This window comes from Homo sapiens, chromosome 2 (assembly GCF_000001405.40).
Source record: "Homo sapiens chromosome 2, GRCh38.p14 Primary Assembly".
NCBI lineage: Eukaryota > Metazoa > Chordata > Mammalia > Primates > Hominidae > Homo > Homo sapiens.
The window spans coordinates 206,607,997-206,621,605 of NC_000002.12; the positions used below are offsets into that span (position 1 = coordinate 206,607,997).

The 13,609-nt window shown below is 38.7% G+C and overlaps 1 protein-coding gene across 3 annotated transcripts in view, besides 1 other annotated feature; it reads left to right on the forward strand.

Annotated features, from left to right (window-relative positions):
* The window catches only part of ADAM23 (ADAM metallopeptidase domain 23), a 177,596-nt gene extending 164,465 nt beyond the window's left edge, over nucleotides 1-13,131 (forward strand). For 2 of the 3 annotated variants that reach the window (NM_001410985.1, XM_005246932.4), the window contains one exon: nucleotides 9,583-13,131. In NM_001410985.1, coding sequence (NP_001397914.1) covers nucleotides 9,583-9,631 — 49 coding nt within the window. In that variant the 3' untranslated portion in view covers nucleotides 9,632-13,131. Of the gene's footprint in view, nucleotides 1-1,913; nucleotides 2,005-9,582 lie in introns of all 3 variants that reach the window. The other variant, NM_003812.4, reaches the window with a different exon arrangement.
* Nucleotides 6,588-7,787: an enhancer, noted in NCBI's record as "BRD4-independent group 4 enhancer chr2:207479308-207480507 (GRCh37/hg19 assembly coordinates)". NCBI's record gives its function as "activates an origin of replication core promoter dependent on BRD2, P300/CBP, MED14 and CDK7 cofactors, and independent of BRD4, by STARR-seq in HCT116 cells {active_cell/tissue: HCT116}" and the evidence as "EXISTENCE:reporter gene assay evidence [ECO:0000049][PMID:35650434]".

Genomic DNA, 13,609 nt, shown 5'->3' on the forward strand with positions numbered 1-13,609 from the left:
AGCATAGAGTATGTACATGGTTATATATTTTTTTAATATTTGTTTTGAAATTTGATTCTCTGTTGAATTGTGGGGAGGAAATACATGTAAGTAGAATAAAGTTTCTCTAAAACAGAAGTTAGCAAACTTCTGTAAAAGGCCAGATGGTAAATAGTTTTAGCTTTCAGCCTACAGGGTTGTCTGTAACAACTTCTCAACAATGCTGTCTTAGCATGAAAGCAGCCATAAACAATATGTAAATGAATGTGCATGGCTATGTTCCGATAAAACTTTTTTGCAAAAGCAGACAGTGGGGCTAGATTTGGTCTGTGGGCTCCAGTTTCCTGACCCTTGACTTATAGGATATGTTTTAGGGTCAGACAAATCTGTGTTCACATCTTGCCGCTATCACTCACAAACTTCTAGAAGCCTGTTTCCTCATCCATTAAACAAGGATAGTCATAGTTCCCACCTCATACGATTTTTGTAAAGATCAAAAGAGATACTATATGTCAAGTGTTCAGTACTGTGTCCAGCACATAGTAAGTGCACAATACGGTAGCTGTTTAAACTATTTTTATGGCTCTCATTATTATTATTATTATTATTGGTGTATCTCTAAAGGCAACTGAGATTCGTTCTCTAGACGGTCAGTGGTTAGTCTTAAGAGCATGTCACAAGCCCAGGAGCCTAAAGAGACCTGCACCCCGAGACTGTATTGCAGCTGTCCTCTACCTGCCCACCAAGCACTGGATGGTCTCCGAATAAAAACACATTATGCATGCAATTTGTGTGCTGCCAAAAGTGGCATCCATTTATGTACACAGTTGAGGGCACTGATGTGAGCAGAAAAGAGAATTTTTTACACAGAAATGAATGTTTACACAAAACTCAAGGATTTTCGGGAAACTAGCAACATTGGCTTTGTGATTCCTGGAGCAGGGATAGATAGGACTGAAAGTATTTTGTTGTTAGGGGACACTGTACCTGCATGTTAGCATCCTGAAGGATGGGATATGTAAAGTAATTATTATACTAGGTTTAACGTTGCTTAGATTTTAAAATGCTAAGCTTAAGGAGAGGAGTGAGCGAGTGGACAGGAGTTACTAGGATATGGATTAGCTCTTACCCTTAGCAATTGATAGAAATGCCACCTTGTCTTTTCTTTCTTACTGTCCTTTGGCTCTCTGCTTTTTTATATCTCTAAGCCTGAAAGTTCTGTTAGTAACAATGGGAACTTTAAAGCTATTCTCAGTTGAATCTAAGGAATCTTTTTACCATTTCCCCAAAATTACCCAAATGAGATTTATGCTTCCTTATATCTTGCCTTTGGAACCCCATTTTGGTCTTTACCACTGTAAGGATAGTGAAGAAGTGTATCTTTGAGAGCAAGGCTTCAAAAGTCAGATCTGTATTGACTTCCTTCTGACTGCTAAGTTTTAACTGTTTCCAAGTGGGGAATTAAAAAGTTAGCATTCAGACCACTTTTAGGTGCTTTTTGGAAGGGCATTGTAGCAGAATGTGTTTCCTTTCCTCCATGCCCCCATTTGTGAGTCAGATGGAGCTTGTCTGAATGCGATGGTGTTCTCTCTGTGCTTTTACTTATTTGATACATGATACTGGGAGAGGGGAAGAGAAGAAGGATGTGTAAAGACAGCAAGTGGGGCCTATTTGCTTCAAATTCTGTGAAAGGTGAATTTAATGGAACTTAATTGTCAATGGTGCAGAAACTTTAGATTTAAAGGCATATAAATCCAAGCAACGCTCACCGTAGCATCTAAAATGCAATTAAGCTAAGTAAATAAAGGCAATTTAAATGTTTAGCCGTCTTTTACACAGGATATTTACTTCCTGAAACTGCTTAACTGCCTTTCCCTTGTGGTAACGAAAGTGGTTGGTTCATATGACTCTCTTCCCATGATCCTTTGTCACAGGTCCTAGTGCCACCAATCTCATAATAGGCTCCATCGCTGGTGCCATCCTGGTAGCAGCTATTGTCCTTGGGGGCACAGGCTGGGGATTTAAGTAAGCAACGCCGCATGTCTTCTTCTCAGTGGCTCTGGCATTTCTCTTTTCTGCTTACATAACCAAGTTTTGAGTTCCTGCTACAAGAGCTTAGGTTCTGTCAGTCAAACTGCAAAAAATAAGTCTTTTTATTCAGAAATGGGTTAGAAATGAAGAAACACGGACCCTCAACTGTCATTTTCAGGCAAGTGGAAATGTAGAAGGAATTCATATACACTGATTTTTAAGGAGAACAACGAAGTTCTTTGGTAGAAGACAGTCCAGCTTGTAAGAGCAGGCACTCTGAGATACATTCATTTCTACACAGGAAATCGAGGAAACCATGTAGTTGGAAATAAGTGGATGTAAATTGCTTGTATCTGTTTAAAACTTGTTTGTAGTCCACTGATATTTTGAAATTTTCACAACCTAAGTAATTATGCAATCATTACTTGTATTTTTCATATGTAACATAGTATATGTAGCTTTGTGATTTGAAAAGCTTTATAGTTTAATGAAAACAGATTTTAAAAGTATTTGTATAATCCTCGACCAACTGAATTGGTTTTAAATCAGAATTTGAAAAATGTGGCTTTGTGACACTTAGTATTTTCTAATCAAGGACTAAATATTGACCTGACAGGTAGGCCTGGTGTGTTTTCATAGTGACCTTTTAGTTTGGATTGCACACTGCTTACTGAACTAAGATTGTTTAAATAGACACACTGGGTATTCACAAATAAACTTCAATTGTGATCAAAATTTTTAAAGCTGATTTATCCAGGCTGGCTATTTCTACACTCCAGAATCATTGGATAATTGCTTTTTATACCTTTTCATGCTATAGTGAGTTGATGATTATGATTTGTAGGTAAGCCCTCCTGTGCCTCCTGTGATAAATTTTCAGCCAGATTCACAGAAACAAATTTAAGTGGGAAATAAGACCATTACCCAAATTCAAAACCCACTTTGCCTGCATCTGGTTACTCAAAAGAGGAAGCTTTTGCCCTGAACTATCTGAATAATTGCCTTAATTATAAACTTTATATGTTTTATATTTGGGATTTTGAATTCAATATGTTTCAGCCAGTTAAAGTGTTATTTTTAGAAGCTGATTAAAGAAACCAAAGATGATTTAAATACATTCAACATTTTCTGCTAATTTGTTATCATATTAAGATTTATTGAGTAAGTCTACAGTTTTGGAGTGCCTTTAACTTGAAATAGTATTATAAAATTATACGTCTTTTCTCTCGGTATATTTGTAGAGTTGAACTTGTTTAGTAATGTAGTCTTGGCATCAGTGTGTTTTCAAAAACACACTCATAAAATGGACAACTCATATTTAAATTTATTGTTTTGGTATTAATAAAATATTGCCCACATAGTGAGTCACGCATGTGGCATCTAGTAAGAAATATGTTTTCGTTTGGGCGGACCTAATTCAAGCAAAACTTTTCTTAGTGTTCCACTGCTACAAAAAAGTCATTGAACATTATAGTACTGCCATACTCTTATTATTTTATAATGCTTCCTTGAACTTTTTCATTAGTATGCCTCAAGAAAAATAAATCTGGATCATGCCCAGGCTTATGCCTCATTTGGCGTTAAGAAATCCCGGTTTCAAAGGCCTGGAAAACAGTCTATTACACGTCTTTGCCGTCTAGCCATATGCAATGCCAAATTTATCATTGCAGTGTTTCGAGAGAAGAGCACACTATTCTGTAGCAGGACCTCAAAACAGTGGCCTGGCCTAGCTCACAGCTTGAATTGCATGTTTCTTTGGGGAAAAATGGAAAAGCCTTTATCACTGTGTATATAAGTGGATTAGGCCCTGTAAAGATTCTTTATATCTGAGAGAGAGAGAGATCTCGTTATCACAAGAACAGAAAACAAAAGGTGGGGGATCAGCACTTAGTGAGATGAGAAACAGCCTTTGCTGACTGCTGCCTGGTTGTTGCTGTGTAGGGACCTGTACTGCTGAGCTGAGTCAAAGCCCCTTCCTGTGCCCTGTAACTCTGATAATCACTTTCAGGGAGAACTGTGTAGAAAGACACACAATAGGGTGAAGTATTTCATGCCCCGAAGCAAAGAAAACGATGAAGACTAAGAATAATTCCAGAACATGTAACTTCAGGAGTTTAAATTTGGAGAATGTGCTACTCCTGGGTGACTGTTGGTTGCTACATGAGGACCTTAATTTGCTTTAGATTTTAGTAGTAACTGTGTGGTTTGTGTTCAGCTTTAAATAACACTTCTACCTTGTAATAAAAGGCTTTTGGTGCTGAATGATAATGTTTAGATTTTCCCACCACTTGGACAGTTCTGGAGATTACTAGTCTGGAGATAATTCGTAAGTATAATTATTTGCTATTTGAACTGAAAGCCTTTGGGTTTGAGTTCAATGTAAATGTTTAAAAAGAAATTCCTTTAGAATCAGAAGTTGAAAATAGTTTGTACAAAAGATTGTTCTAAATGCTGCTATTGGGAATCCCTCCTGATACCAGGTTTTTATTTCTAGAAGAAAAGTTGGTAAGGTAACCTGAACAATTTGAGGGCATGTCAACTTTTTGATTAAAGGAAAATACAGTAACTACTCAGGGAAAATACTATATTTTCCTAATGTCACATTTCTTTAGGTGTACTAGTGAGTAGTTTAGATGTAGAAGTATCATACTATACGTGACCTGCCCAAGTATAAATGAGAAATACAGCTATGCTCTAAGCCCTGACCTTGTCTGCCATTCTTTAAAGTTCTTTCCTTAAACTATTATTTCCTCTGAAATAGGTGGTAAAAAGCATGAAAATGTGTGCATGTATGTGAATGTGTGCACATTTGTGTGTGTGAAGTGATAATAAAGATGTATCAAGATTATTATAATCTGAAAATAATACTGATTTAAATTACATACTTCCTTTTAGTAGATTAGTTGAGTCAGACCGCTTTGGTTAATGCAAGCAAGACTTCCACAAGCAAGGTTGTGGATTTCCTGAAGAATTTTTAAATGTTTTATTTGGTAGATTTTTAAAAAATATTGTCACATATTGTGTAATGTTATGGGTAGTAACTTTGCTTAATTTCTTTTTCTTTTTTTTTGAGACAGAGTTTTGCTTTTATTGCCCAGGCTGGAGTGCAGTGGCATGATCTCAGTTCACCGCAACCTCCGCCTCCCAGGTTCAGGCGATTCTCCTGCCTCAGCCTCCTGAGCAGCTGGGATTACAGGCATGCGCCACCACGCCCAGCTAATTTTGTATTTTTAGCAGAGATGGGGTTTCTCCACGTTGGCCAGGCAGGTCTGGAACTTCCAACCTCAGGTGATCCGCCAGACTCGGCCTCCCAAAGTGTTGGGATTACAGGCATGAGCCACTGTGCCCAGCCAACTTTGCTTAATTTCATACTCCAGAAGTATGAGGTTACTAAGGGTATGATTAGTCGTAGAGTCCCAGGTATTGAGGGTCTTAGGAATTTCTCTATGAAATCCTGTGAAAAACGAACATAGGCATGTGGCACACCAATTTGCTCTACTTCTATATCTGCATTTATTTTCATTCACCCCATGCTCCTGTTCTTCCCCATCACCCACACACAAGAATAAAGTTATGAGCTGTGGTGCAGAGGATTGCAAACCTCTGTCCTAGTTGACTCATGGAGACTCATGACACCTACCCAACATTAAATGATGATACTGCTTGATTCGACTGTTAGAGCTGTTGCTTTTACTGGACATTAGAAAAAGCAGGACCATTTTAGTAGCATCTTCCCTAAAGCTTAGGAAAGGTGAAAAGTATATGAAAAGAGAATTTCATATCTCCATTTAAAAGTGAACAGGATTGTCTTCAGCACCTTAGGCGTTGCTATTTATCTGATATTCCCTAAATTTGAATGTAGGGTTTTACATGCACATTAGTAGGTGATGGTGGTAGGAAAAGAGAAATTCTAGGTGATGGTAGGAAAAGAAATGAAGGTAATAGTGACATGGTTTGTTGAAAATTGAAATCAAAAGGACTACAGGATGAACACTGAGCTTTTCCAGTGATACCGTAACACCTCAGTCTGTAGAACCTCATCACCACGTCTTACTCTCCCGCTACTTGCCCTGTCCATGGGATTCAGTGGCAAAGTGGATTTCATCAGTGGCCATACTGGCCTGGCATAGCTACTCCTTACATTAAAAGTGTTAATTTAATATTAATAAGTCTGTGTAATTATCATACGTGATTCCTTCTCTCTGAGAAGTTATTTGTGTTAAAAGCTCTTCTGAGCCTGACTCTGGATTTAAGAGATTCTGTCTGGCCTACGTTCCATTTTATTGGACATGTTAAAGAAAAGGCTGTTTATGTACTCACACAAAATGAAAAAGAGCTATATCTAGACTATTACCAGCAAAGTTAAGAGTTATCTGAAGCTGGGCATGGTGGCTCATGCCTGTAATCCCAGGCTGAGGTGGACAGATCGCCTGAGGACAGGAGTTCGAGACCAGACTGGCCAACATGGTGAAACCCTGTCTCTACTAAAAATACAAAAATTAACCGGGCATGGTGGTGCACGCCTGTAATCCCAGCTACTCGGGAGGCAGAGACAGAATCCCTTGAACCCGGGAGACGGAGGTTGCAGTGAGCCGAGACTGCGCCATTGCACTCCAGCCTGGGCAACAAGAACAAAACTCTGTCTCAAAAAAAAAAAGAGTTATCTGAATGTCAAGTCAGATAAAATTTGAAAGGAACTTAATATTGTTAATTATATTTTCTCAAAAGAGTAAACACCATTTTTTGTGGGGGCCTTTTGATTTTTATTGAATTAGGAAATTGAATTAAATTTGGCTAGTCTTTCCACGAGGAGGATAACCAGACTGCTGTTTTTTTGAATTCCATGACTGTATCCCAGTTCAAAATGAGAAGCCTGATTCCCTTAATGCCTGGGACTCCTGGGTTAGGCACTTTCTCTTTCATGGTACCAGGCTGGCCAGGAAGATCGGTGCATTTCCCTGCCCCAGCGCCCCAGGGAAGTGAGCTCAGTGTATGGTGGCCTAGGAGGGGTTGGGCTAGGGACACTTCGTCAGGGGGTGACTCAGCATAGAATGATAAGAATGTGCTAACCATGGATAAATATATGCCCTTGAAAGAAGAACTAAAGGCTTTACGGCTCTGAGACGGTTATTGTTACTGAAAGAGTCTTGCTTTAATTTTGTGTAGATGTTATGTGTATAATGTATATTGTAGACAAAAGTCCAGATTATTTCAGAAGTAGTAAAAATGGATGAAAGCTGTGAAAATGTAAGCTTTATGGATTATGCTAGTGTTTTATAATGATCCAGAAATACCTTACAGGTTATGAGAAAGTTAATTACCTTCAGAATCCTAGTGAGCGGAGGGTATTCAGAGGAAACCGTTATGAAGAAAGTCAGCAAGGACCTGCCCGCAGTAGTTGTACTTTCACATTAAAATTGAACTGAAAGAATATTTTTTTCATAGAGAAAATTCAGACCGTTCTCAACATACAGTGACTGTGATGGTTTTACAATTTATGTGTGAGGCACCTTCACAGTCCGCTTGCCACAGGAGTGTTCATCTCTGTCCTCATCGCAGTGTGGCCTCCCTTGTAGAGGAGCTCACTTTCCCCCTGCTGGGACATCAGTGGAAGAGCTAAGGTCCTGGAATGCCCCATTGGTGTTCAGAGTCCATTTTCATCCAGAAAGATACAGTTCTGCAGGATGGCTCAGCCTCTCTGTCTGGCCTGGGAACCCAGTGATCCTGTAGAGCAATATTTCTGCAAAAAGGTGCAACCTAAGCTTCAAAAACCAGCTTTTAAAAAGAGCACAAGCTTTTGGACACCAGCGGTTGTCTGTGTGCCAGGCTGAAATGGAATTTCCTATCTCCATTTAAAAGTGGACTGCATTGCTGTTACGACCTTGGACATGGCTACTTATCGGTCATTCCCGAATTTGAATAAAGGAATTTAGATGTGGGCAACATGCACAGTGCTAGCTTGGTTTGCCCTTTCCTCTACATTTGGATTTACTGAGGAAATTTAGTTTAACATTTATCTTGAGTTCTAGCAATACATAGCTCACAAGATTGGGGCCTCTTGTCCTTCAGGGTCATTTCACAAGGTCAGGCAGTCTCTGTTTTTCCTCCCTGACTCACAGAGTATGGCTCCTTAAACCTCTACCTTCCAGGGATATGAACATAGGTGGCAGATGGAGACCCTGTGCTCTGCAGCAAACTAACTTGGTGGAGGATGCATTATGGGATACTTGCCTTTTGGTTTCACATTGGTTTCTTGGGCAGCATCAGCAGTGCCCGCTTTCAAGAATGTTGACTTAAAAGAGGGCTGGGTGGGAATGATGAAGAAAAGTAAACAGCATTGTTGCAGATAGTGTTGGCTGCAATGGTTACCTGCTAGGCCAATGAGTCACACACTTAGGTCACTCATGAAGACGTTTTAATGTAAACTTTAAAAAGAAAAGACAAGTTTTCTTTAAAGACTTTTATGTTGATATTTCAAAAGAGAAGCATCAAAGTGACCATCTTGGGAAAAATAAGAACTTTGCAGGATGCCTTTATACCTATTTTGAGCTTTGGTATTGTTTTTATTTTGAATTACTTGTGGGGGAGGAGGAATATATCGCAATGGCTTTGATACTTAGGGCCTGTAAGGGTATCCAGCTGGCCCTCAGTCGGTGGGCAGGGGAGTGAGGGCTTTGGGGACTCCTCAGTCTCCAGTTTTGCATGATGCCTCGGTGGCAGTAGCGTTGCACCCGCCCAGTATGCAGACTAAATGCATGAGCCCCTTGCTTGATGCCCCACATAAAGCCAGACCATGGGGAGGTTGCAACCAACTTTTACTGTTGCCTTGTAGTGTCTTGCTGGTTCTTTCTTTTCTCTTTAAACATAGGAGCCACTTTTTAGGAGACTGGACACTGTGAGCAAAGCATTTTAACTTGCCGATTTTCAACTAAGCTAAATTCTGCATTTGCTTAACTAACCTGAACCTGTGTCCACTCTCCTTTGAGTGTACTGTCTTACTGTGCACTCTGTTTTTCAACTTTCTAGATATAAAAAATGCTTGTTCTATAGTGGAGTAAGAGCTCACACACCCAAGGCAGCAAGATAACTGAAAAAAGCGAGGCTTTTTTGCCACCTTGGTAAAGGCCAGTTCACTGCTATAGAACTGCTATAAGCCTGAAGGGAAGTAGCTATGAGACTTTCCATTTTTCTTAGTTCTCCCAATAGGCTCCTTCATGGAAGAGGCCTTCCTGTAATAATTTTCACCTAATGAATTAGCAGTGTGATTATTTCTGAAATAAGAGACAAATTGGGCCGCAGAGTCTTCCTGTGATTTAAAATAAACAACCCAAAGTTTTGTTTGGTCTTCACCAAAGGACATACTCTAGGGGGTATGTTGTGAAGACATTCAAAAACATTAGCTGTTCTGTCTTTCAATTTCAAGTTATTTTGGAGACTGCCTCCATGTGAGTTAATTACTTTGCTCTGGAACTAGCATTATTGTCATTATCATCACCATTCTGTCATCATCATCTGATTAATATTGTGGATTTTCCCCCTCTGCTTGCATCTTCTTTTGACTCACTCTGGAAGAAATGTCAAGAAGAGAAGGTTCGATCCTACTCAGCAAGGCCCCATCTGAATCAGCTGCGCTGGATGGACACCGCCTTGCACTGTTGGATTCTGGGTATGACATACTCGCAGCAGTGTTACTGGAACTATTAAGTTTGTAAACAAAACCTTTGGGTGGTAATGACTACGGAGCTAAAGTTGGGGTGACAAGGATGGGGTAAAAGAAAACTGTCTCTTTTGGAAATAATGTCAAAGAACACCTTTCACCACCTGTCAGTAAACGGGGGAGGGGGCAAAAGACCATGCTATAAAAAGAACTGTTCCAGAATCTTTTTTTTCCCTAATGGACGAAGGAACAACACACACACAAAAATTAAATGCAATAAAGGAATCATTAAAAAAAATAGTAAATGATTTTTTTTCCCTCAGCCTGCTGGCACTTAATATCTTCTAAATGATTTGGCATGATTTTTTTTTCTTTACTACCGATGACAAACTCCAGTGGCATGAAGATCTAATTTTCAAAAGGGTAAAAACTGCATGGCATATATACAACAAGCTAGCAAGCCAATTCTCAGCAAAACCTGCAACAGAATTCCTAAAGTGAAGATGACAGATGAACACAAAGAAGCTGCCTGGGCCTCTTCACTTAAACATGTCCCCACACCCCATCCTCTCGGAGCCCCACTTCTTACCCCCCACCTCCCACCCTCTATAATCCCCACTCCCCATTGGAGACCAGGCCAGGGCAGAACTCCACGGACCTTGCTCTTGTTGATTCACTTTCCCCATTGTGTTTTCTCCTGGACTGAGCATCCTTTGGAAATGGGAGCTGGAATTTGAACAATGATGCTATTGTATAGTTCTTTTATAAATGTAAATATGGAAATAAGAGATTTTGACACATCATTTTCACTTGTCTGTATTGAGATATTTTCCTTGTAAAGGTTCTCTGTAAACTTGAGTTGATTTTTTGCTCCCCATCTTTTTTGTTTCTTGTCTCTCTTTCTCTGTCTCTGTCCTTCTCTCTTGTAACGTGTTATACAATGACTCTTGGGCTTGCTTAAAAAGACAGATATAGCCACAGATGCAGGGAGTTTGGGCACAAAACACGTGCAGTTTAAAGTTGGTGTGCGTTAAACCAAAAATAAAAGGGGGGACATAAACAACAAAATAACCCATATCAAAGACACAAAATTATGTAAATGGAAATATATGTACTAAGTTTCGAAAATTTTTTGATGTCATTATAAACCTATGTAAATAATGTAAGAAAGTAGACACCCTTTCAGATTAATCACAAAAGTGCCAAGCTCATGATTTTGGTTTTCGGTTTTGACAATTTTCTTTCCCTGTCTTTAATGTGAAAGGAGGATAAACTTAAAGCCTTAAATAAAAAAATTTTTTTAAATGTTAAAAGCTTGGAAAAAATTAAGCTTTCCATTTTATTTGTATTTGTTAGTGTCAATATTTCATCCATGCTCATTTTCCTGCCTCAAAATATATATGGTAGAACCCTATTGGAAAAGTGGTAATGGGAATAGAAGGAGCAGTTACCTTTGTATCCGCATTGTTAAAATAGGCTTTTATGCTGTGCTGTGCTTTCAAGAAACCTTGTTTGACCTCTGGCATTTTACTGATCAGTGGACCGTTGCACTGGATTATAATGGGATTCTACTATATACAAATCCACATTGTTCTTCTCCCTCCAGCCAGATTTGCAGATGTAATCTGGGCTTTCCAAGTCCCTCTGAGTTTCCTTCACTTTTACTGATTTTTTTCTTCTAAATATGGTCAAGATAGCTTCTGTCACATGTTAAGTAAATAAGCTGAAGAAATTTGGTCCCGGCTTTGTTTTAATGTACAAACCGGTATGTGATCACTTCAGTGAGCATCCCTCTATAGATGGGCTTTAGTAAAGACTGTCCCAAAGAGCCCCTACTTCTCTAATGCCCCCCCCCTTTTTTTTTTAGGAAAAGAACATGCAGTTTTACTCATCACTTCTTCATGACACCAAATCCATTGCTAGGTTTAGCTCCTGGTCCCTTTTCAGCAAGATTCATGTTATCCGTCTTACAACTTTGATTTTGGAAAGTATTATGTCCTAAAAATGCACTGCTTAACACAGTGGGGTTTTTTTCCCCCGAGGTGTCTTTAACTGGGGAAGTACCACAAACATAGAGCAGAGACTTTAATTTCTATATTCTACAATAGACCATCACCAAACATCTTATCATGTTGTTGCTTTCTGAGTAATAGGTGCTACGCAGGTAGGCGGGCTTTCTCTAGGACTAGGTGTACGTTTATTTTGTAATAACAGGGCTATCTACAAGGCCTCTCAGCCTTACTCCTGGCTTCATAGGACACAGGTAGCATCCCTCTAGTCATTGGCAATGGCTCTTTCAGCTCGGAGGAAGCTTGGAGGAAACTCAGATTACTTGGTATCTTTTCCTGTTGCTGCATTGCTTAGTGTTTCCTTGTTGCTGGGTCCTACTCTCTAGTAGATACTAAACTGCTGTGAAGTACACCATACACATTTCACTAAGATTCCAGAGCCACCTTGGTGACATAACAGAAACAAAATCATGTTGGTTACAAAACAAATTAAATCTCTATTGTTAACTTTTAAGCATTTCACAAACAACATTGTAAATGTGCGATGTTACGTTTTAAATCAGACCACAGTGGTCCCCAAATATTATGTACATATGGCAAATGTCAGTGTAACTTTTTGTTACACTGGCAATTTCATAGGTAATCGAACCTATGCTCCAATGTTAAATTATTTGTGTATATGTAAAATACACAAGCTTTAAGCTATGTGTGTATGAATATGAAAGTTAATGCAACCATATCAATTGTAAAAATGGATTATAATTATTTTTGATGGTATTAGGTTATGTAGTTTCAAACTCTTTGCTGTATTTTGTTTTGCACCTGCCATTCATTTGCTAATTTTTGTGGCGTGGAGATTCTTTTTTATTAATTTGAGCTCACAGCACAAGTGTATCACTGTTTAATGTTACCCAACAAGAGTTAGTGTTAAGTGATGATCAAGTTCCCATTTCACCTGCTCTACTTTTGCTGCATTAATTAATGACACCCGGATGAGGAGACGTGCGCTAACTTCATTGCTCATCTGGGATAGTGCATGAGCCCATTGAATTAGAGCTGCTCCTACTAGATAACTGAGCAGTACACATAAGTGCATGTTATGAAACATGAATCACATAGAGCAGTGGAGTTTTACCAAGTGGTGTGTGTGGTTTTTGTTTTTTACTATGCAAAGATGGGAAATGCACAAACTTTTCAAAGACTAGTGTCTGAAGAACTTTACAAACAATACTTGAACCCTTTCTTTAAAGTTATCCCATCATGTTTTATAGTCATTGTTGCTTCCATTGTTAGTTTCCATTTTCAAGTGCTTTGTAATTTTTTAAGTGCACTACCTGAAATTTTGTTTGAAATTAATAAATTCATTCGTATCTTGTTGGCTGCCTATGAATGGAGATTCAGTAGTCATTGTATGCATCTTTAAGTCAAATGTGTATTAAAACTTTCGTTAACGTAGAATGTTGTAGCTTTATGCTTTAATCATTTCTTTTAAACCCCCTTTTCTGTTTCCTCTTGTAGTGCTGATTAAATGGCCATGTGCCTGATATCATCAGAGTTTTAGCATGGATCCAAAGGCTTACTGAAAATTTAAGCAGTCAGTGGCACAAAATAAAATCTCTGATTAATGATAAATATATGCCTGATTACGATTCAGTTTTATTGGATTCATTGGAATTTTTTGCTTCTTATAAATCAGAAAAAACCCTACCTTAGGATCGCTTAGAGATTTTTTTTTTTTAGTATCTCCCTTCTGAGTTTTAAGAGTGGATGGCTAGTAATAACATCCACACTTTGGACCTGGTACCAAATTTGTAATCAAGCAACAAAGAAAGTAGAAGGAAATCTGGTTATATAAATTGTATTATAAAAAACATTCTAAGGAAGGCATTTCTTCACAGCTCCCATGGAATTGGTCACCAAATTATATCCCTTC